Source organism: Homo sapiens, chromosome 12, assembly GCF_000001405.40.
Source record: "Homo sapiens chromosome 12, GRCh38.p14 Primary Assembly".
NCBI lineage: Eukaryota > Metazoa > Chordata > Mammalia > Primates > Hominidae > Homo > Homo sapiens.
The window spans coordinates 12,831,655-12,852,534 of NC_000012.12; the positions used below are offsets into that span (position 1 = coordinate 12,831,655).

At 44.5% G+C, this 20,880-nt stretch overlaps 2 pseudogenes, besides 1 other annotated feature; one reads left to right on the plus strand and one right to left on the minus strand.

Moving 5' to 3' along the window:
• Nucleotides 3,233-4,432: an enhancer, noted in NCBI's record as "MED14-independent group 3 enhancer chr12:12987821-12989020 (GRCh37/hg19 assembly coordinates)". NCBI's record gives its function as "activates an origin of replication core promoter dependent on BRD2, BRD4, P300/CBP and CDK7 cofactors, and independent of MED14, by STARR-seq in HCT116 cells {active_cell/tissue: HCT116}" and the evidence as "EXISTENCE:reporter gene assay evidence [ECO:0000049][PMID:35650434]".
• RPL37AP9 (ribosomal protein L37a pseudogene 9) lies at nucleotides 9,150-9,425 on the minus strand (annotated as a pseudogene).
• Nucleotides 19,303-20,097, plus strand: RPS6P1 (ribosomal protein S6 pseudogene 1; annotated as a pseudogene).

The following is a 20,880-nucleotide window of genomic DNA, read 5'->3' on the forward strand; positions in this document are numbered from 1 at the left end:
TCCTCATCTATTAGGCGATGCAGGAGATGTAGAGCTGGGGCCTCAGCTCCAGGGGAGGAGGTAGGCATTGGCACTCTAGGGGCTGGTTGTTGGGGGAGGGTTACTGAAATTCAGAAACAACTTGGAAATTCCCAATCACAAACAGTCTCATGTTCTGAGGATGTTTACACATAGAAGATGCCTAATACTTTTTGTTGTCTATAACAGTTTTATTAGAAGAGTGTGTCTGGAGTGGCAGAACCAAGGTAAAGAGCGTCTAAATAATCACTTTGATGGATTAAGATTGGAATGAAGTTTGGCTGAAAAGAAACTTTCCTTATCCATCTAAGTCAGAGTATCTGGTGAGGAGTAAAGAGTAGGAGGCAGGCCGGGCGTGGTGGCTGACGCCTGTAATCCCAGCTCTTTGGGAGGCTGAGGAGGGCAGATCACGAGGTTAGATCGAGACCATCCTGGCTAAAACGGTGAAACCCTGTCTACTAAAAATACAAAAAATTAGCCGGGAGTGGTGGCGGGCGCCTGTAGCCCCAGCTACTCGGGAGGCTGAGGCAGGAGAATGGCGTGAACCCGGGAGGCGGAGCTTGCAGTGAGCCGAGATCGCGCCACTGCACTCCAGCCTGGGCGACAGAGAGAGACTCCGTCTCGAAAAAAAAAGAGTACAAGGCAATAAAATTCTCTGTGATGGTCCGGGGTGGACTGTTCACTGCAGGAAGATCTTTGCAAATATCGGGGCGGGGGGTTTTCTACCACAGATGCATTTTAAAATGGGCACCTGTGGGCAAGGCATTAGCAATGAATTGAAATACAGTGCATAACTTACTTTTTGTTTTGTTTGCTCTGAATTTCATTGCTGCTTATTATGGTACCTTTGTGTGAAGGATAATTTAGAGGAGGTAGGAGATACAAGGGAAAGGAAAGGAGAAAGGGGTACCAGAATCGGGAGGCAAATGGTTGAGCAGGGCCGTACCTGTTCCTATTTGTTATGAGTTGTGCCTCCCACTTGGGGCTAATTCTCCATTAACATTGTGTTTTCTCGATGGGACTCTCCAGGGTGGCTTAGGATAGCAGCTCTCTTCGAGTCAGCCCATGGATGCTGTTTCAGCTCAGTGGAGGACTTCAGAAGCAAGCTGAAATGGAATTGGTGTACCAGTAGGGGGTAAGAAGGAGAGATTGGAATCATCCTCAAGGATGTCTGAACTTTCCAAATAGGCAGTGGTCTCTGGCCTGGGTTTGTGGACCACTGAGGAATATGCATATTTTTGGGGAGACTAAAAAGGTTAAAAACCACTACTCGAAAGCTTAACTGCCATCTCTAATGTATATGCATAATTATGCTTTGCTAGGATGGGAAGAAAGGACACTAGTGAAAGAAATGTGGACGGGTGTGTCTTCAGGTATATTAACAGGTCCAGAGCATGGAGTCCCCAGCAGAAAATGCACAGATGCCATTGCAAAAGGCAGGAGGCGCAGAAATGAACGTGATCCACCAGTAAGTAAAAACAAGACATGTAGGTTTGCTCTATTAGTCAGTCATTCCTGTGCTCTCCTGTCCTCTAAGGTGAGATAGGTCGTGCTGCTGATACCCTTACAGAAGTACGTTTTAATGTCCTAGGACTACTGAAACAAAGTACCAGGAACTGGGTGACTTTCAATAACAACTTTATTCTCTCATGGTCCTGGATTTTAAGATGTTCAAAATTAAGGTGTGGGCAGGGCCATGTTCTCTCTGACACCTTTAGAGAAGAGTCCTTCCTGGCTTCTTAGCCAGCATTGCCCCTTGGTTGCCTGCAGTCCTTGGTGTTTCTTGGCTGTAGCAACATGACTCCGATCCCTGTCTCCATCCACACATGGCCTTCTGCCCCATATATCTTTGTGTCTTCACAAGGCCTTCTTAGAAGGATACTAGTTGTTGGATTTAGGGTGCACCCTAATCCACCCTGGCCTCATCTTAACTAATTACATCTGCGAGGATCCTATTTCCAAATAAGGTCACCTGAGGTTCTGGGTTGATATGGTTTGGCTGTGTCCCCACCCCAATCTCATCTTGAATTGTACTCTCAGAATTCCCACGTGTTGTGGGAGGGACCCGGTGGGAGGTAATTGAATCCTGGAGGCGGTTTCCCCCATACTGTTCTCATGGTAGTGAATTAGTCTCACAAGATCTGATGGTTTTATAAGGGGTTTCCCCTTTTGCTTGGCTCTCATTCTCTCTTCCCTGCCACCGTGTAAGACGTGCCTTTCACCTTACACCATGATTGTGAGGCCTCCCCAGCCACGTGGAACTGTGAATCCATTAAACCTCTTTTTCTTTGTAAATTACCCAGTCTCAGGTATGTCTTTATCAGCAGCATGAAAACAGATTAATACATGGGTAGACATGACTTTTCGTGGGATACTATTCAGCCCAGTACAAGGCATCTTTGTGGACTCTGCTACATTCTGCGGGGTTTAAGGTTGCAATTACGGAATAAAATGGTGGGGAGAACTAGTTACAAAGTGTGGAGAAGACAGGAGATGGGTCTTCAGAAGTATTTGGTTAGGTATTAATAGGAGTATAGAAGAACGTTAAAATGTCATTCTCTTAAATACATGTAAATTGCCTTTGCAGTCAAGATACCAAAAGCTCTAGATTAGGAGTGGGGAACGAGGTCCCTGACCCCTCTGCTATTCCCTTCTTGGTACAACTCCTTAGTTCTGCATTCCTGATTTAAGAAACTGTGAGCTTCGCCGGCCGGGCGCGGTGGCTCACGCCTCTAATCCCAGCACTTTGGGAGGCCGAGGCGGGCGGATCACAAGGTCAGGAGATTGAGACCATCCTGGCTAACACGGTGAAACCCTGTCTCTACTAAAAATACAAAAAAATTAGCCAGGCGTGTTGGCGGGCGCCTGTAGTCCCAGCTGCTGGGGAGGCTGAGGCAGGAGAATGGCGTGAACCCGGAAGGCAGAGCTTGCGGTAAGCCGAGATCGCACCACTGCACTCCAGCGTGGGCGACAGAGCGAGACTCCATCTCAAAAAAAAAAAAAAAGAAACTGTGAGCTTCAAAACAATCTTCTCCCACCCTAATTGTAAACAGATACATCTAACTTTTATGACTTAATAAAGGGAGTATCTTGGAATAGTCATATGATATCAGCCCAGAGAAAATGTCTTCTTATTTCTCATCTGAATTATAAAACTGATTTATATAGTATTCATTGTATGCAGTTGCAGTAACAATGGCTTCATGGTACTGGCTAGCCTAGTTTTACTTCCTCTGTACAGAGCTGAGTGAGGGTGAGAATGAGGAAAACACCTCTCTATCTTATGAAGGGGTCCTAGGATCCTAGTGAGAGGGTTTCAGTTGGATAGGCTATTTCAGGCTTAAAGCAGGCCCAGAATTCCAGGGAACCATGAAGCAGGTTCTCTGAGGGCACTCTGAGGGGATTGTAGTTGCTAAGAGGGGCCTAGACCAACTAGATCATGATTATTCTTTCTCAGTCTCTCAAAAAATGCAATGAATATCCCAGAACTTGGCTGGCTCTTTAAGGACATCTTGCTTACAGACAGAGTGTTTTCCAAGTAGCTTTCTGCCTGCAGAGGCATCCACAAACCTAAATTGGAGACTTTATCTACCTTGGGTCCCTCAAAACCCTGGGAAATAGGACCAGAAAGAACCACAGGCTGTGGTGTTGGTTACAGAAAATGAAAGGATCCAAGTTATCAAAAGTGGGTAACAAAGCAACATCAAGAAACTGTGTCCTTAAAACTAAGAGAATATACAAGACATTCTAATCCACATGGTTCTTAGGGTGAAATCTAGCCTCTGGGCAGGTAAGAAATCAGGGTGTGAGTCACCCCTCTTTAGCTGGAATGACAAGAGACTCAGACCATAACTCTAGAGATTGAAGGGTTACCCACACCCGCATTCCTTTTCATGCCTCACCTATCCCAGGTATGCACTAAAACTACCGCTAAAAATAACTGCAGAAACTTGAAGTCTGGGAAATAGCACTGAACAGTCTCACCTGAAGTGAAGAGCTGATTGGTGCCAAGTGGAAAGGAGACAGGAAGAAAATGGGCTCCTCTGGAACCATGCAGTCTCTAGGAGGTGGGCCCCAAGGTCTGCTCAGAGTCTTGGAGCTTTTGTTTGCTCGTAGCCATCCATCCCCTTATACCATCCAAACACAAAGGATGTCTCCTGTCACTGTCACCCTTCAATCATCTGCCAGTGCCGTCAAAGAGGCCGGAAGGAGCAGGAGGAATTGGGAAAGGAACAGGTGGGGAAAGTGTAAGTCATCGGACTGTTCACTGTTGCTGTGTGACCTTGTGGGAGTTACTAAACCTCTCTGAACCTTGAGTTTTCTCATTTGTTAATATGGAAAGAAGACCGTCAAGCCTATCTCTGTCACAGAATCTTTTTTTTTTTTTTTTTTGAGATGGAGTCTCTGTCACCCAGGCTGAAGTGCAATGGTGCAATCTTGGCTCACTGCAACCTCCACCTCCCAGATTCAAGCAATTCTCCCACCTCAGCCTCCCAAGTAGCTGGAATTACAGGCATGTGCCACCATGCCGGGCTAATTTTTGTATTTTTAATAGAGGCAGGGTGCCATGTTTGTCAGGCTGGTCTCGAACTCCCGACCTCAGGTGATCCATCTGCCTCGGCCTCCCAAAGTTCTAGGATTACAGGTGTGAGCCACCACACCTGGCCTGCCTCACAGAATCTCGAACCTAGTTTTTAAAATTCTGTTTCTTTCCTCCTTCCCTTCCAGTGTCCACCATATCCTAGCCAGTGTGCCAGATACTAGGAAACCAATACTGAAAAAAGAGTCAGATGCTATTTTTGCTGAACTTAGCCTTAGTATTGTATAGTGATTGTGCTTCCTACTAGGCAGGGACCGCGCCTAATTTGTGGATATTACTAATATCATACAGGGCCCATACGCAGTAAATGTTCAATATCTGTCATTTTCTGAAACCTAAGATGTGTCAGGCGGCTTGACCTGTATTATTTCTAGTTCTTTGAACAATCCCGAACAGTCGATATTATTGTTCCCAATATGAGCTATGGAGCCAGTTTGCCAAATCGGCCCCTGACTAACTGTGAGACTTTGGACAAGTTGTTAAACCTTCCTGTGTTTCAACCTTCTTATCTGAAGACACACAGTTATAGTACAGCATTGTGAAGTTAAATGAACTATACTGTGGCTCATGATAACAATCAGTAAGTGTTAGTCATTATAATGATCATTAATTGTGGCTTTTAGCATAGATGAAGACTGGCAGCGTACCCAGATCATACAGCTGGTAAAGGGCTAAGTAAAAATTTGAAGCCAAATTGGATTCCAAGCCTCTGCCCTTTACACTAAATACACTGTTTGTTATGTGTGTGTGTGTGTGTATGTATATATGTGTAATTCCATATTACTCATGCAGTATGTTCCACACAACAAGTAAGTACTATGCAAATGAACTTTCAGGTTCCAAGCTATTTTCAAATTGGCAACAGGCAGGTAAGAAAATAAGACATTCTTGTTTTCACCAGTAGATGGCAGAAGGAAGAAAAGACCACTCCGGAGAGGGAAGGAGTTTTAATTTGGAGCCGAGTGATTCACAGTGGGCTGTGGCTGAGGCACAGGGGCAGATGAGGCAGACTCCTTGTATGACTACAGTGGAGGACAGTCCCACTGGAACTAGGGGTCAGGGGTCAGGGTGGGGAGGAGAACTACCTACAGGTATGTGAAGGGTGTCAGCCTTCAAGAAGATCTGCTAGGTTGACCCAGAGGATGGGGACTGGGAGCCCCGAAGTAAAGGCAAGTTCAGATGCACTTAGAAAAAAAGGTCGCGTTCCTCTGTCGTCTCTACTGCGCGGTCCCTGGCTGTGGACCCTCCTCGTCAACTTCCAAACACTTGGTTCTTTTCCAAAGCCTGCCTTTCCCTCTGGGATGTTGATGAAGCCACTTGCTTTGTTTGCTCCTTTCCCCACCCCCTACCCCAGTCTGTAAGTCAGGAATACTCTTTCCCCCGCCTATCCCAATACACGTTGTTTGTGAGCCACCGACCCCCCTCACTGCTTCCCTCTCTCCTCACTGCGTATCCATCCAGTAGGCTTGGTCCACAGCCCGTGCTCCTGTATCAAATAAGCTTGGTGCTGGGTAACCTGTGAGCTGCTTGTTCGTTCATTTTATCCTAGAGACATGTCCTTCAGCCCAAAGTGATGGGGAGTTGTCCTTCTGGGTCCAAAAGAGTAGTAGCAGCAATCAAGCATGGTGGTCATTTATACTGGGCCAGCTCTCACTGATGTGATGCTGGCTCTTGTCCTCACACATTCTTTTGGGGGAGGAGTCCACTGGTAACTCCTGATATCTTAGAAACTCTCTTACCCAAGCTATTAAATCCAGTGCCAACTTAAAACCAACATCCCTGTCGCGATTTCTGGGTGGGTCAAGAGTGGGGACTATCCAAAGATTTCTTATTTGACATACGTCTATTTGTACATTTGTAATGGTTGTTGGTTTGGTTTTAAATAAGTGATTCTTGGACAGGGCATGGTGGCTCATGCCTATAATCCCAGCACTTTGGGAGGCCAAGGTGGGAGGATTGCTTGAGGCCAGGAGTTTGAGACCAGCCTGGGTAACACAGCAGAACCCCATCTCTACAAAAATAATAAAAAATTAGCTGGGCATGGCGGACCCCGCCTATGGTCCTAGCTACTTGGGAGGCTGAGACAAGACAATCATTTGAGTCTTGGAGGATGAGATTGCAGTAAGCTATGATTGTGCTGCTGCGTTCTAGCCTGGGTGACAGGGTAAGACCCTGTCTCTAAAAGGTAAATAGTAAATAAGTGATTCTTTACAATAGGGCTGAGGAGAGCCTCCTGTGTGTTAGGAGTTTGCCAGGTGACTGGCATATATTATTTCTTTTACTGGAGGTCATGAGTCATTTCTCGAGGAAACTGCAGATCAGAAAAGCTTGTTTGTCATATTTTAAAACTGCAGCCTAGTCTTTTTTTTTTTTTTTTTTTTTGAGACAGAGTTTTGCTCTTGTTGCCCAGGCTGGAGTGCAATGACGTGATCTTGGCTCACCGCAACCTCTGCCTCCCAGGATCAAGGGATTCTCCTGCCTTAGCCTCCCAAGTAGCTGGGATTACAGGCATGCACCACCATGCCCGGCTAATTTTGTATTTTTAGTAGACACGGGTTTTCTCCATGTTGGTCAGGCTGGTCTCAAACTCCCGACCTCAGGCGATCCGCCTGCCTTGGCCTCCCAAAGTGCTGGGATTACAGGCGTGAGCCACCACACCCGGCGCAGCGTAGTTATTCTTTATTCTGTCTTCCGTGATTTCTTAAATTCATCCAAGGGTATTCAGGAATTTTGCAGGGTGAGCCTATGCTGACAAAATGAAATTGAGCACCATAGTTTTGTGTTTTTTACTAAATCTCCAGAAAATAAAAGTGACCTTTGGACTGCCAGAAGATTCACGTGAAACCTCACATAAAATCAGCATGTGAAGACAGAGAGGATGTTGGTGATCACCAGAATCTGTTCATTTTTCCTTTGAAGATACTTAAAGGAAGTATGTGTATGTTTACAGGTTTGTATATGTTTTAGAGTGTGCCCACAAGCTCTTAGCCATTTAAGACAGACACTAAAGACTCCCTCAATTAAAAAAAAAGTTCAGTGGAATTTTGTTCATAATATCTGCCTGAGAAAAAACAGGCCCTGCTTTTCAGTCTTGAAGACTGAAGGCTCCTTTTTGAGTAGAGTAGTGGGGGCTGGGTGCAGTGGCTCATGCCTATAATCCCAGCACTTTGGGAGGCCGAGGTGGGCAGATCATTTGAGGTCAGGAATTCGAGACCTGCATGGCCAACATGGTGAAACCCCGTCTCTACTAACAATACAAAAATTAGCTGGGTGTGGTGGCTCGTGCCTGCTAATCCCACTACTCGGGAGACTGAGGCAGAAGAATCACTTGAACCCAGGAGGTGGAGGTTGCAGTGAACCGAGATCATGCCGCTGCACTCCAGGCTGGGCAACAGAGTGAGACTCCATCTCAAAAAAAAGAGAAGAGTAGTGGGAGTAGTTAGGCGACAGAAGTATGCTTTAGAGAAGGCTGGCTAGCCTAACTCATTTTCCTAATAAATGCCAGTGATGCCCCTAACCAGGCACTAGGGTCTATTGTCAGTGCGGCGTGTGGGTAAGTCACACTTTGTACCTCACCTCTTCAGCATCTATGTCTGGGTGAACTCAGAATTATGTGTGATCACCAAGGGCAGCCTTGAAGGGGACGAGAGGGCCCTACAAGGACAAGTCTCTGACTGAGAGGGTTATGTGGGAATGACAGAAGAGTGGCCCACCTGGGCGGGTTGCTGGGAGAGAGAGGAAAGGGGAGAAGGGTGTCATGTTCAGATTTACAGCCTGTCCATAAACTTCATGGTTTTATGGTACTCAGCCATGTAATCATTTCCTGCCCCTTCTCCTACTGTGTTCTCCAGAGTCCCTGAGTCACTCTTTGGCCAGTGGCCTGCAGCCAGGGCTCATTTCTCTTCTCTATGGCCTAAAGAAGTTGTTTCCGTGCCCTGGGGCACGGGCATCCAGGGACAACATATTACAAGGCGGTCTGTTGGGGTGTGGAAGACACTAGAACCTTTATCTGTATTTAACCCATCCATTTCTAATTTATATTTTTTATGTGTTATAGTGTAAAGTTTTGCTGTAAACAATTCATAATAAATATGTATGGATATGGCATATTTGTATATATTTATTATGTATGTAATTGTTTAACATATGTGCAAGTATGTTAAAGATATTATGTTGAATAGGATGCATATCAAGAAGGTTTGGCCAGCCTGGCCAACATGGTGAAACCTCATCTCTACTAAAAATACAAAAATTAGCCAGGCATGGTGGTGGGCACCTGTATTCCCAGCTACTCTGGAGGCTGAGGCTCGAGAATCGCTTTAACCCAGGAGGTGAAGGTTGCAGTGAGCCGAGATGGCACCACTGCAGTCCAGGCTGGGCAATAGAGCAAGACTCGGTCTCAAAGAAAAAAAAGTAAGTAAGTTTAGGACAATAGCCCTAGGGAATTATGCTGATAATGGTCCTTTTTTATTATTACATAAGTTAACCCATTTATTAAAGGCTAGTGATGTCTCCAATGGTGGAGAAACATCTGGTCTTTCAATTCCTTCAGTCTTCTGACTGTAGACTTTGCTGTGACGGCAGAAGTGGTATTGTAGGTTCAGCCACCACCAGCTACTGTCTTCATGCACGAACCACAGTGCCCGACCCCCATATCTCGTCTTTTCATCTTGGTTTTGTCACAGAAAGAGCAATTGTACTTGGCGTGCTAGCCGGTTTCAATTTTCTTCACCATTTTCTGGAAGGAGGCACCATAGCGGATCCTGTATTTACCGACAATTCCAACTTTATTGGTGCATTTAGCCATGTCAGTGCAAAGTTTTGAGCCCGCAATAATCTTTAAAAGCGTTATTTTATGTTTCATTATGAAATTAACTTTTCATTATGAAATTAACTAACTATAGCGGATCCTGTATTTACTGACAATTCCAACTTTATTGGTGCATTTAGCCATGTCAGCGCGAAGGTTTGAGCCCGCAATAGTCTTTAAAAGCATTATTTTATGTTTCATTATGAAATTAACTTTTTAAAAATTTTTTTTGAGATGTAGACCTGCTCTATCCCTAGGCTGGAGTGCAGTGGTGTGATCTCAGCTCACTACAATCTCTGCCTCCCGGGTTCAAGCGATTCCCCAGCCTCAGCCACCTGAGTAGCTGGAATTACAGGAGTGCACCACCACGCCCAGCTAATTTTTTGTATTTTAGTAGAGACGGGGTTTTATCATGTTGGCCAGGATGGTCTCGATCTCCTGATCTCATGACCCGCCTGCCTTGGCCTCCCAAAGTGCTGGGATTACAGGCGTGAGGGACCGTGCCCAGCCCAACTTTTTTTTGTTTGTTTGTTTTGAGACAGAGTCTCACTCTGTCACCAGGTTGGTATGCAGTGGCGTGATCTTGGCTCCCTGTAACCTCCACCTCCTCGGTTCAAGCGATTCTCCTGCCTCAGCCTACTGAGTAGCTGGGATTACAGGTGTGCGCCACCACGCCCAGCTAATTTTTGTAGTTTTAGTAGAGATGGGGTTTCACCATGTCGGCCAGGCTGGTCTCGATCTCTTGACCTCATGATCCATCCACCTTGGCCTCCCAAAGCACTGGGATTACAGGTGTGAGCTACCAAGCCCAGCCTTTTTTTTTTTTTTTTTCTTTTTTTGAGGTGAAGTCTCACTGTGTTGCCCAGGCTGGAGTGCAGTGGTTCAATCTTGGCTCACTGCAACCTCCATCTCCCACGTTCAAACTGAGTGGGGCCTTCAAATTCTGGTTTCAAACCAGGATGATTCTCCAGTTCCTTGAGAGTTTATAGGTGTGTGAGCTATTTTCACTGTTTCCAGAGCCTAATAGAAACCTTCTATTTACCCCAAATAAGCCTGCACAGGTCAACTTTAAGGTCAAGTGTTTTGCATTCGTTAGAAATGTTAGGAAATTGGAGTGGTCCTCTCATGCTGATCAGAATGTGCGGTTACGGCCTGAGTGTGGAGTGGGCAAGTGCTGCTTTGGGGCCTGACTTGGGTCCCAACCCCCTTCTATTGTGAGGGAGTTCTGCGGGAGGAAAAGTGGGGAACACCACCTCCCATAGCCCCTGAACAGCACCAACTTTAGACCTGGGCAAGTGAGACCCTTCCCCAGGCCTGCTCCTCAGGAATCCCTGCACTTTGGAGTGTGTTTCTCAAAATGTTCCAGCTTTCCCTTCTGTGCTTGGGACATGCCAGGGCCAGCAGGTAAGAGAGTTTCAGTTGCTTCCAGCCTTTCCAATATTTGGTGTTGTCAGGCTTTTTGATTTTAGCTATTCTTCACTGTGGAAATTTTTTCCCATGGAAAATCTCTCTCTCTCTCCCTCACCCTTCTCTGTCTCTCTCTTTCCTTCTCTCTTGCTGACTTCTCTCTTTCTTTCTTTCTTTCTCTCTCTCTCTCCTTGTCTCCTCCCCACAGCAGATTTACTGAGGTATCAAAAACATGGCTGGGTGTGGTGGCTCATACCTGTAATCCCAGTACTTTGGGAAGCTGAGGCAGGCGGATCGCTTGAGGCCAGGGGTTCGAGACTAGCCTGGCCAAAATAGCAAGACCCTGTCTCAAAAAAAAAAAAAAACCCATACACATACTGGATTTGATAGGTTTTGACATATATATACATCCATGAAGCTGTGACCACGATGAAGATAATGAACACATCCATCATCCCCAAAGTTTCCTCATGCTCCTTGTCATCCCTCCCTCCTGCCTTTCCTTGCTTCCTCCTCCCTGCCTGACACCAGGAAACCACTGATATGCTTTCTGTCAATATGCAAAGTAGTTTGCATTTTTAGAGTTTTGTATAAATGGAATCATTTCTTTTTTGTTTTTTAAGACAGGGTTTTACTCCTGATACCCAGGCTGAGGTGCAATGGTGTGATCTCGGCTCACTGCAACCTCTGCCTCCCAGGCTTAAGCGATTTTCCTGCCTCAGCCTCCCAAGCAGCTGGGAATACAGATGCATGCCACAGCACCTGGCTAAATACAGTGTATTCTGTTTAAAATCTGACCTCTTTCACTTGGGATAATTATTTTGAGTTTCATCCATGTTGTGTGTTTCAATAGTTCATTCCTTTTTATTGCTCAGTAGTATTCCATTACATGGATATATCATAATTTGTCTATACTTTTCTTTTTTGGTAATGTCTTTGGCAAGATTTGGTATCAGGGTTATGCTGGCCTTATAAAATGAATTAAGAAGTGTTTCCTCGGCTGGGCGCAGTGGCTCACGCCTGTAACCCCAGCACTTTGGGATGCTGAGGTGGGTGGATCACCTGAGGTCAGGAGTTTGAGACCAGCCTGACCAACATGGAGAAAACCTGTCTCTACTAAAAATACAAAATTAGCCAGGTGTGGTGGCTCATGCCTGTAGTGTAGTCCCAGCTACTTGGGAGGTTGACGCAGGAGAATCGCTTGAACCTGGGAGGCGGAGGTTGTGGTGAGCCAAGATCGCACCATTTCACTCCAACCTGGGCAACAAGAGTGAAACTCCGTCTCAAAAAAAAAAAAAAAAAAAAAAAAAAGTTTCCTCATTCTCTACTTTTTGCCCAGGCTAGAATAAAGTGACTTGATCTTGGCTTACTGCAACCTCCGCCCCTCAGGTTCAAGTGATTCTCCTGCCTCAGCCTCCTGAGTAGCTGGGATTACAGGTGCCCACCACCATGCCCGGCTAATTTTTGTATTTTTAGTAGAGACAGGGTTTCACCATTTTGGCCAGGCTGGTCTCGAACCCCTGACCTCAGGTGATCCACCCGCCTCAGCTTCCCAAAGTGCTAAGATTAAAGGCATGAGCCAACGCGCCCGGCCTTTCCTTTTTTTGAGACAGAGTCTTGCTCTATCACCCAGGCTGGAGTGCAGTGGCAAGATCACAGTCCACTGCAGCCTCCAATTCCCCAGACTCAAGTGATCCTCCCACTTCAGACTCCCAAGTTGCTGGGACCACAGCTGTGCACCACCATACTTGGCTAATTTTTGCATTTTTTTTTTTAAGAGAGAGGGTTTCACCATGTTGTCCAGGCTGGTCTTGAACTCCTGGGCTCAAGTGATCCTCCTGCCTTGGCTTCCCAAAGTGTAGGGATTACAGGCATGAGCCACTGCACCCAGCCCATTCTCTATTTTCTGAAAGGTTTGTGTAAAAATTTTTTTATAAGGCCAGGCACGATGGCTCACGCCTGTAATCCCAGCACTTTGGGAGGCCGAGACGGGAGGATCATGAGGTCAGGAGATCGAGACCATCCTGACTAACATGGTGAAACCCCATCTCTACTAAAAATACAAAAAATTAGCCAGGCATGGTGGCGGGTGCCTGTAGTCCTAGCTACTCGGGAGGCTGAGGCAGGAGAATGGCGTGAACCCGGGAGGTGGAGCTTGCAGTGAGCGGAGATCATGCCACTGCATTCCAGCCTGGGCGACAGAGTGAGACTCCGTCTCAAAAAAAAAAAAAATTTTTTTTTATAAACAAAATATTTTTCATACACAAAAGATTTTTCATTCTGAATTATACAAAAAACTTCAAACAAGTACTGTTTATAAGATCCACTAATGTTATATTTTTAAATAATATGATTACATAATAGCTTTCTTTAAATCTGAGTTCACTCAAATTTGATGGTTTTTTTTTTTTTTGAGACGGAGTTTCACTCTTGTTGCTCAGGCTGGAGTGCAATGGTGTGTTCTCGGCTCACTGCAACCTCTGCCTCCCAGGCACAAGCAATTCTCCTGTCTCAGCCTCCCAAGTAGCTCGGATTATAGGGATGCACCACCATGCCCGGCTAATTTTTTTGTATTTAGTAGAGATGGGGTTCCATCATGTTAGTCAGGGTGGTCGTGAACTCCTGACTTCAGGTGATCCACCTGCATTGGCCTCCCAAAGTGCTGGGATAACAGGCGTGTGCCACCATGCCCAGCCTCGTTTTATCTTTACTAACTATGATTACCAAGTTGTAAAAACAAAAAATTACAACCACATTCTTGGCAGAATTTTGATGTCTGATAATACCTGGATATTGGACAGCATCCAATTAAAACATCAGTATAGCTTTCATGCATTAAATAAAGTATTTTACTCAAGTTCCCAAAACAAACTTGAGTATGTTGGGTTTGAATGGAAGCAAAAGGCCAAGTTAAAATATGAAAGCAGATGGTTTTTATTTGGTAGGAGCTGAAATGAATATTTGCGTTCTAATCAGACATCTGTGCCATGTGGCATTTTCCAAATTTTTAAGAGTCTACCAGTCTAAACACTTCACTGCTTTTACCACCTTTGCTTTGCTCTTCTCCTTTCTTTCCTCTCATTTTGCCTTCAGACTTTTTCTTTCCTTTTTTTTTTTTGAGACAGAGTCTCGCTCTATTACCCAGGCTGGAGTGCAGTGGTGCTATCTTGGTTCACTGCAACCTCTGCCTCTTGGAGTTCAAGTGAGTCTCATATCTCAGCCACCCAAGTAGCTGGGACTATAGGCTTGCACCACCACACCCGGCTAATTTTTGTATTTTTAGTAGAGACAGGGTTTCACCATGTTGGCCAGGCTGGTCTCGAATTCCTAGCTTCAGGTGATCTGCCTGCCTTGGCCTCCCAAAGTGCTGAGATTCCAGGCGTGAGCCACCGCCCCTGGCCTCAGCCTTTTTCTTTACCTCTACTTCTTCCATACTGGTTACTGCCCATACTGGTCTAGAAAACCTTTTTTTCCTCTTAATATCAGCCTCCATTTTTGTGTCATCTTTTTCATCTTTCACCACACACTCATTTCCTCTTGGCAGTGTCTGGCATCACCACAGTTGCTGTCTCTTGAACATCTTTCTTTAAAACATTGCGTCTACTTTGAGAATACTTTCAAGTCAGCTGAGCACCTTTGGGGCATTCTTTTTTCTCTTTTCAGGCACTTTTCTTTTCCACCCACTCTGACACACCACATGATCATGCTGACCAGAGTTTGGTTTGTGTAAAATTGCTGTTATTTCTTCCTTAAATGTTGGATAGAATTGAACGGTGAAGCCATTTGGATTTGGGATTTTAATTATTAAATCATTCTTCTTCTTTTTTTCTTTTTTTGTTTTCCAGACAGGATCTTGCTTCATCACCCAGGCTGGAGTGCAGTGGCACAATCACAGCTCACTGAAGCTTCAACCTCCTGGGTTCCCTCCTGGGAGCGACCCTCCCACCTCAATCTCCAGAGTAGCTGGGACTACAGGTGCCTCCCACCACACCTGGATAATTTTTGAAATTTTTGTAGAGTCGGGGTCTTGCTAGGTTGCTTAGGCTGGTCTCGAACTCCTAGCTTCAAGTGATTCTCCTGCCTTGGCCTCCTAAAGTGCCAAGATTACAGGTATGAGCCAGCACACTTGGCCTGCATCCTGCACATACTGATACACTGTGTTTTCATCATCATTCAGATTGAAATACTTTCTATTGTCTTTTGTGATTTTTTTTGATTCAAGGTTATTTTGAAGAGTGTTGCTTAATTTCAGAATATTTGAAGATCTTAAAAACATTTTACTTAATTACATAACTTGGGCTGGGCATGGTGGCTCACACCTGTAATCCCAGCATGTTGGGAGGCAGAGGCAGGCAGATCACTTGAGGCTGGGAGTTCGAGACCAGCCTGGCCAACATGATATAACCCCGTCTCCACTATAAATACAAAAATTAGCAGGGTGTGGTGGCACACACCTGTAATCCCAGGTTCTCAGAAGGCTGAGGCATGAGAATCTTTTGAACCCAGGAAGTGGTGGTAGCAGTGAGCTGAGATAGTGCCACTGCACTGCAGCCTGGGTGACAAAGCAAGGCTCTGTCTCAAAAAAAAAAAAAAAAAGAAAAAGAAAAAAGAAAAACCATAACCTGAATGAATTTGATCTGTTGCCATTTTTTGAGGCTTGTTTATGGACTAGCATATAGCGCATCTCAGTGTATATTCCTTGAGCACTTCAAAAGAATGTGTACTCTGCAATTTTTGAGTATGATATTCTGTAGTCAATTAAGTCAAACTAATTGGTAATGCTATCAAATTTTCTATGATGTCACTTTTTTCCCCAACTTATTCTAACAGTTACTAAGAGGGGTTATTAAAATCTCCATATGTTTGTGGATTCATTTATTTCTTTTTAGTCTGTTAATTTTTGCTTTACATATTTTAAAGCTCTCTTATTAAGTGTATACAGATTTAGGACTTTTATGTCTTAACTAATTAAACGTTTTAGTATTAAGAAATATTCTTTATCTCTGGAATACTCTTCGCTTGAAAGATTTTATTTGGGCTGGGCGTGGTGGCTCACGCCTGTAATCCCAGCACTTTGGGAGGCCAAGGCGGGCGGATCAGGAGGTCAGGAGTTCGAGACCAGCCTGGCCAACATGGTGAAACCCCGTCTCTACTAAAAACACAAAAAGTAGCTGAGTGCGGTGGCAGGGGCCTGTAATCCCAGCTACTCTGGAGGCTGAGGCAGGAGAATTGCTTGAACCCGGGAGGCAGAGGTTGCAGTGAGCCGAGATCGCACCACTGCACTTCAGCCTGGGTGACAGAGCAAGACTTTGTCTCAAAAAAAGAAAGAAAGAAAGATGCTTTATCTGATATTAATATAGCTATAAACAAGCCAAACATTGCTTTTTTTTTTTTTTTTTTTTTTGGGAGGGAGTCTTGCTCTGTCATCCAGGCTGGAGTGCAGTGGTGCAATCTTGTCTTGCTACTAGCACTGCCTCTCAGGTTCAAGTGATCCTCCTGCCTCAGCCTCCCAAGTAGCTGAGATTATAATGTGTACCACCACACCTGGCTAATTTTTGTATTTTTAATAGAGACAGAGTTTCACCATGTTGGCCAGGCTGGTCTCAGACTCCTAGCCTCAAGTGACCTGTGCGCCTTGGCCTCCCAAAATGCTTAGATTACAGGCGTAAGCCACTGTGCCCAACCCAAATATTGTTTTCTTAAGTTTAGTGTTTGTACAATATATACTTTTTTACTATTTTACTTTCAACTTGGTTGTGTCTTTATATTTCTAAGATGTTTCTTGTAAACAAAGTAACCTGAGATTTTTGTTCTCTGTTTTCTAATTGGAGGGGCTAGTCTATTAGCATTTTTTTTTTTTTTTTTTGAGACAGGGTCTCACTCTGTCACCCAGGCTGGAGTGTAGTGGCACCATCATGCCTCACTGAAACCTCGACCTCCTGGGCTCAAGCAATTCTTCCACCTCAGCCTCCTGAGTAGCTGGGCCTATAAGTATGCACCATCATGCCTGGTGAATCTTCAAACTTTTTTTGTAGAGATGGGATCCCACTTTATTGCCCAGGCTTGTCTCATTTGTATTTAACATGATTTTTTGGTATTTTTAGGTTTACTTTTAACAAATAAAAAACCCATAACATTTTTTTCTACTTGTTCCATCTGTTGTTTGTTTCTCTGTGATATAGCTTGGGTCTGTGTCCCTGCCCAAATCTCATGTCAAATTGTAATCTCCAGTGTTGGAGGTGGGGCCTGCTAGGAGGTGACTGGATCGTGGGAGTGGGTTTCCCCTTTGGTGCTGTCCTCATGATAATGAGTTAGTTCTCATGAGATCTGGTCATTTAAAAGTATGTGGCACCGGCCGGGCACGGTGGCTCACCCCTGTAATCCCAGCACTTTGGGAGGCCGAGGTGGGTAGATCTCCTGAGGTCAGGAGTTCAAGACCAGCCTGGCCAACATGGTAAAACCCCGTCTCTACTAAAAATACAAAAATTAGCTGGGCGTGGTGGCAGGTGCCTGTAATCCCAGCTACTTGGAAGGCTGAGGCAGGAGAATTGCTTGAGCCCGGGAGGCGGAGGTTGCAGTGAGCCGAGATTGCGCCACTGCACTCCAGCCTAGGCGACAGAGCAAGACTCTGTCTCAAAAAAGAAAAAAGAAAAAAGAAAAAAAAAAGTGTGTGGCACCTGCCGCTCTGTCCTACCCCTCTATCCTTGGTCCTGCTTCTGCCATGTAAGATGCCTGCTCCGGCTTTGCCTTCCTCCATGAGTAAAAGGGTCCTGAGGCCTCCCCAGAATCAGATGCCGCCATGCTTCCTGTACAGCCTGCAGAACTGTGAGCCAGTTAAACCTCTTTTCTTTATAAATGACCCAGTCTCAGGTATTTCTTTATAGTAATGCAAGAATGGACGAATACACTCTGTTTCTCTTTTCCTGCCCACTTTTCAATAAATTGAGTATTTTTAAATATACCATTGACTTTTTAGCTAATCATCTTTTATTTTGAGTAGTTTTTCTTGAGATTACAAATATCTTTAACAGTCTACCTTCAAATTATTCTCCTTTTGTGATTCTAACACTAATTCTATTTACCCACTTCCAATTCTTTTTACCCATTTCCAATTCTTTGAGCTCTTGTTGTCCTATATTTTACTTCTAAATGTTATATATTTTGAAATATATTGTTATTATATTGGCAGCCAATTGTCTTTTTAAAATGTGTAGATAAGCCAGGAGCAGTGATCATGCCTGTAATCCCAGCTACTTAGGAGGTTGAGGTGGGAGGATTGCTTGAGGTCAGGAGTTTGAGACCAGCCTGGGAAACATAGCAAGACCCTCTCTCTAAAAAATAGAAAAATAAAAAAATTAACCAAGGATGGTGGCATGTGCCTGTGGTCTTAGCTACTTGGGAGGCTGAGGCAGGAGATTTGCTTGAGCCCAGGAGTCAAGCCTGCAGTGAGCTATGATCATGCCACTGCACTCCAGCCTGGGCAACAGAGTGAGATCATGTAACTAAACAGAAAAAAAAAAGTATAGCTCTCTTTTCTATTTAGATTCATATTTATGCTCTCTGGGTCTCTTATTGTTTCCTACAGATCTATGCTTCCATTGACATTATTTCTGTTAATCATTTCTGGTAGAGCAGGTTTTCTGGAAATGAATTTCTCCTTTTTTCTGAAAATATCCTTATTTACCTTTAGGTTGAAATATAAATAGACGTGGCCGGGCGCGGTGGGTCACACCTGTAATCCCAGCACTTTGGGAGGCTGAGGTGGGCAGATCATAAGATCAGGAGATAGAGACCATCCTGGATACCACGGTGAAACCCCTTATCTACTAAAAATACAAAAAATTAGCCGGGCGTGGTGGCACACGCCTGTAGTCCCAGCTACTCGCGAGGCTGAGGCAGGAGAATTGCTTGAACCCGGGAGTTGGAGGTTGCAGTGAGCCGAGGTCATGCCATTGCACTCCAGCCTGGGAGACAGAGTGAGACTCTGTCTCAAAAAAAAAAAAAAAGAAGAAAGAAATATAAATAGACATCTAGGCTGACAGGTTTTGCTTTTTTTTGTTTCAGTTATTTAAGAAAGCTTTTCTATTTTGGGGGGGAGGGTGTGGGGTGTACTGGTCTGTTCTCATGCTGCTAATAGAAGACATACCTGAGACTGGATAATTTATAAAGAAAAAGAGGTTTGGCTGGGCGCAGTGGCTCACCCCTGTAATTCCAGCACTTTGGGAGGCCAAAGCGGGTGGATCACGAGGTCAGGAGATCGAGACCATCCTGGCTAACATGGTGAAACCGCGTCTCTACTAAAAAAACAAAAAGAAAAAGAAAAAAAGAGGTTTAATGGACTCACAGTTCCACATAGCTGGAGAGGCCTTACAATCATGGTGGAAAGCAAAGGAGGAGCAAGGCATGTCTTACATGGTGGCAAGCAAGAGAGAAGTAGAGGGGAACTCCCTTTAGAAAGCCATCAGGTCTTGGAGGCATTCAGCTGCTTCAAGATGAAGCTGAACATCTCCTTCCCGGTCACTGGCTGCCAGAAACTCATTGAAGTGGATGATGAATGCAAACTTCGTACTTTTTATGAGAAGCTTATGGCCACAGAAGTTGCTGCTGACACTCTGGGTGAAGAATGGAAAGGTTATGTGGTCCGAATCAGTGGTGGGAACAACAAACAAGGTTTTCCCATGAAGCAGGGTGTCTTGACCCATGGCCGTGTCCACCTGCTACTGAGTAAGGGGCATTCCTGTTACAGACCAAGGAGAACTGGAGAAAGAAAGAGAAAATCAGTTCGTGGTTGCATAGTGGATGCCAATCTGAGCATTCTCAACTTGATTATTGTTAAAAAAAAAAAAAAAGTAAAGAAGGATATTCCTGGACTGACTGATACTATGGTGCCTTGTCGCCTGGGGCCCAAAAAAGCTAGCAGAATCTGCAAACTTTCCAATCTCTCTGAAGAAGATGATGTCCGCCAGTATGTTGTAAGAAAGCCCTCAAACAAAGGAGGTAAGAAACCTAGGACCAAAGCACCCAAGATTCAGCATCTTGTTACTCCACATTTCCTGCAGCACAAAGGGCAGCATATTGCTCTGAAGAAGCCGTGTACTAAGAAAAATAAGGAAGAGGCTGCAGAATATGCTAAACTTTTAGGCAAGGGAATGAAGGAGGCTAAAGAGAAGCGCCAGGAACAAATTGCGAAGAGACACAGACTTTCCTCTCTGTGAGCTTCTACATCTAAGTCTGAGTCCAGTCAGAAATAAGGTCTCGTGAGACGTTATCACAAGAACAGCATGGGAAAGATTCACTCCCGTGATTCAGTTACCTCCCGCCGGGTCCCTCCCACAACATGTAGGAATTATGGGAGCTACAATTCAAGATGAGATTTGGGTGGGGACACAGCCAAACCATATTAGGGGATGGGGAAGCTTTTCTATTGTCTTCTGGCCTCTACTGTTTCTGATGAGAAATTACCCATCATTCATAATTTTTCTTTGGCTGCTTTTAATAATTTATTTTTATCTTTGATTTTCAACACTTTGACTGTGATGTACCTGAGGTTGGTTTTCTTTGTATTTATTCTGCTTGGAGTTCACTGAGCTGATGCAATCTGTGACTTGATTTCTTTTATTAGTTTTAGAAAATTCTTGTCTATTATCTCTCCAAAGATTTCTTCTGTCTCACTCTTTCTTTTCCTTATGGGACTTCAATTACAAATATGTTAAACCATTTGCTATCATCCTAAGGATCATAGATGCTCTGTTTTATCCCCCCAACATTTTTCTATTTGTGTTTTAGTTGGATTACAGTCACGTGCTGTATAATGACAGTTTAGCCAACAACAGACCACATATATGATGTTGGCCCCATAAGATTATAATAAAGCTGAAAAATTCCTATCACCTAGTGATGTTGTAGCCATCATAAAGTTGTAGTGCAACACATTTCTCCTGTGTTTGTAGTGATGCTGGTGTAAACAAACCTGTGCTGCCGGTTGTATAAAAGTATAGCACACACAATAATGTATAGTATATAATACTTGATAATGACAAAAAAA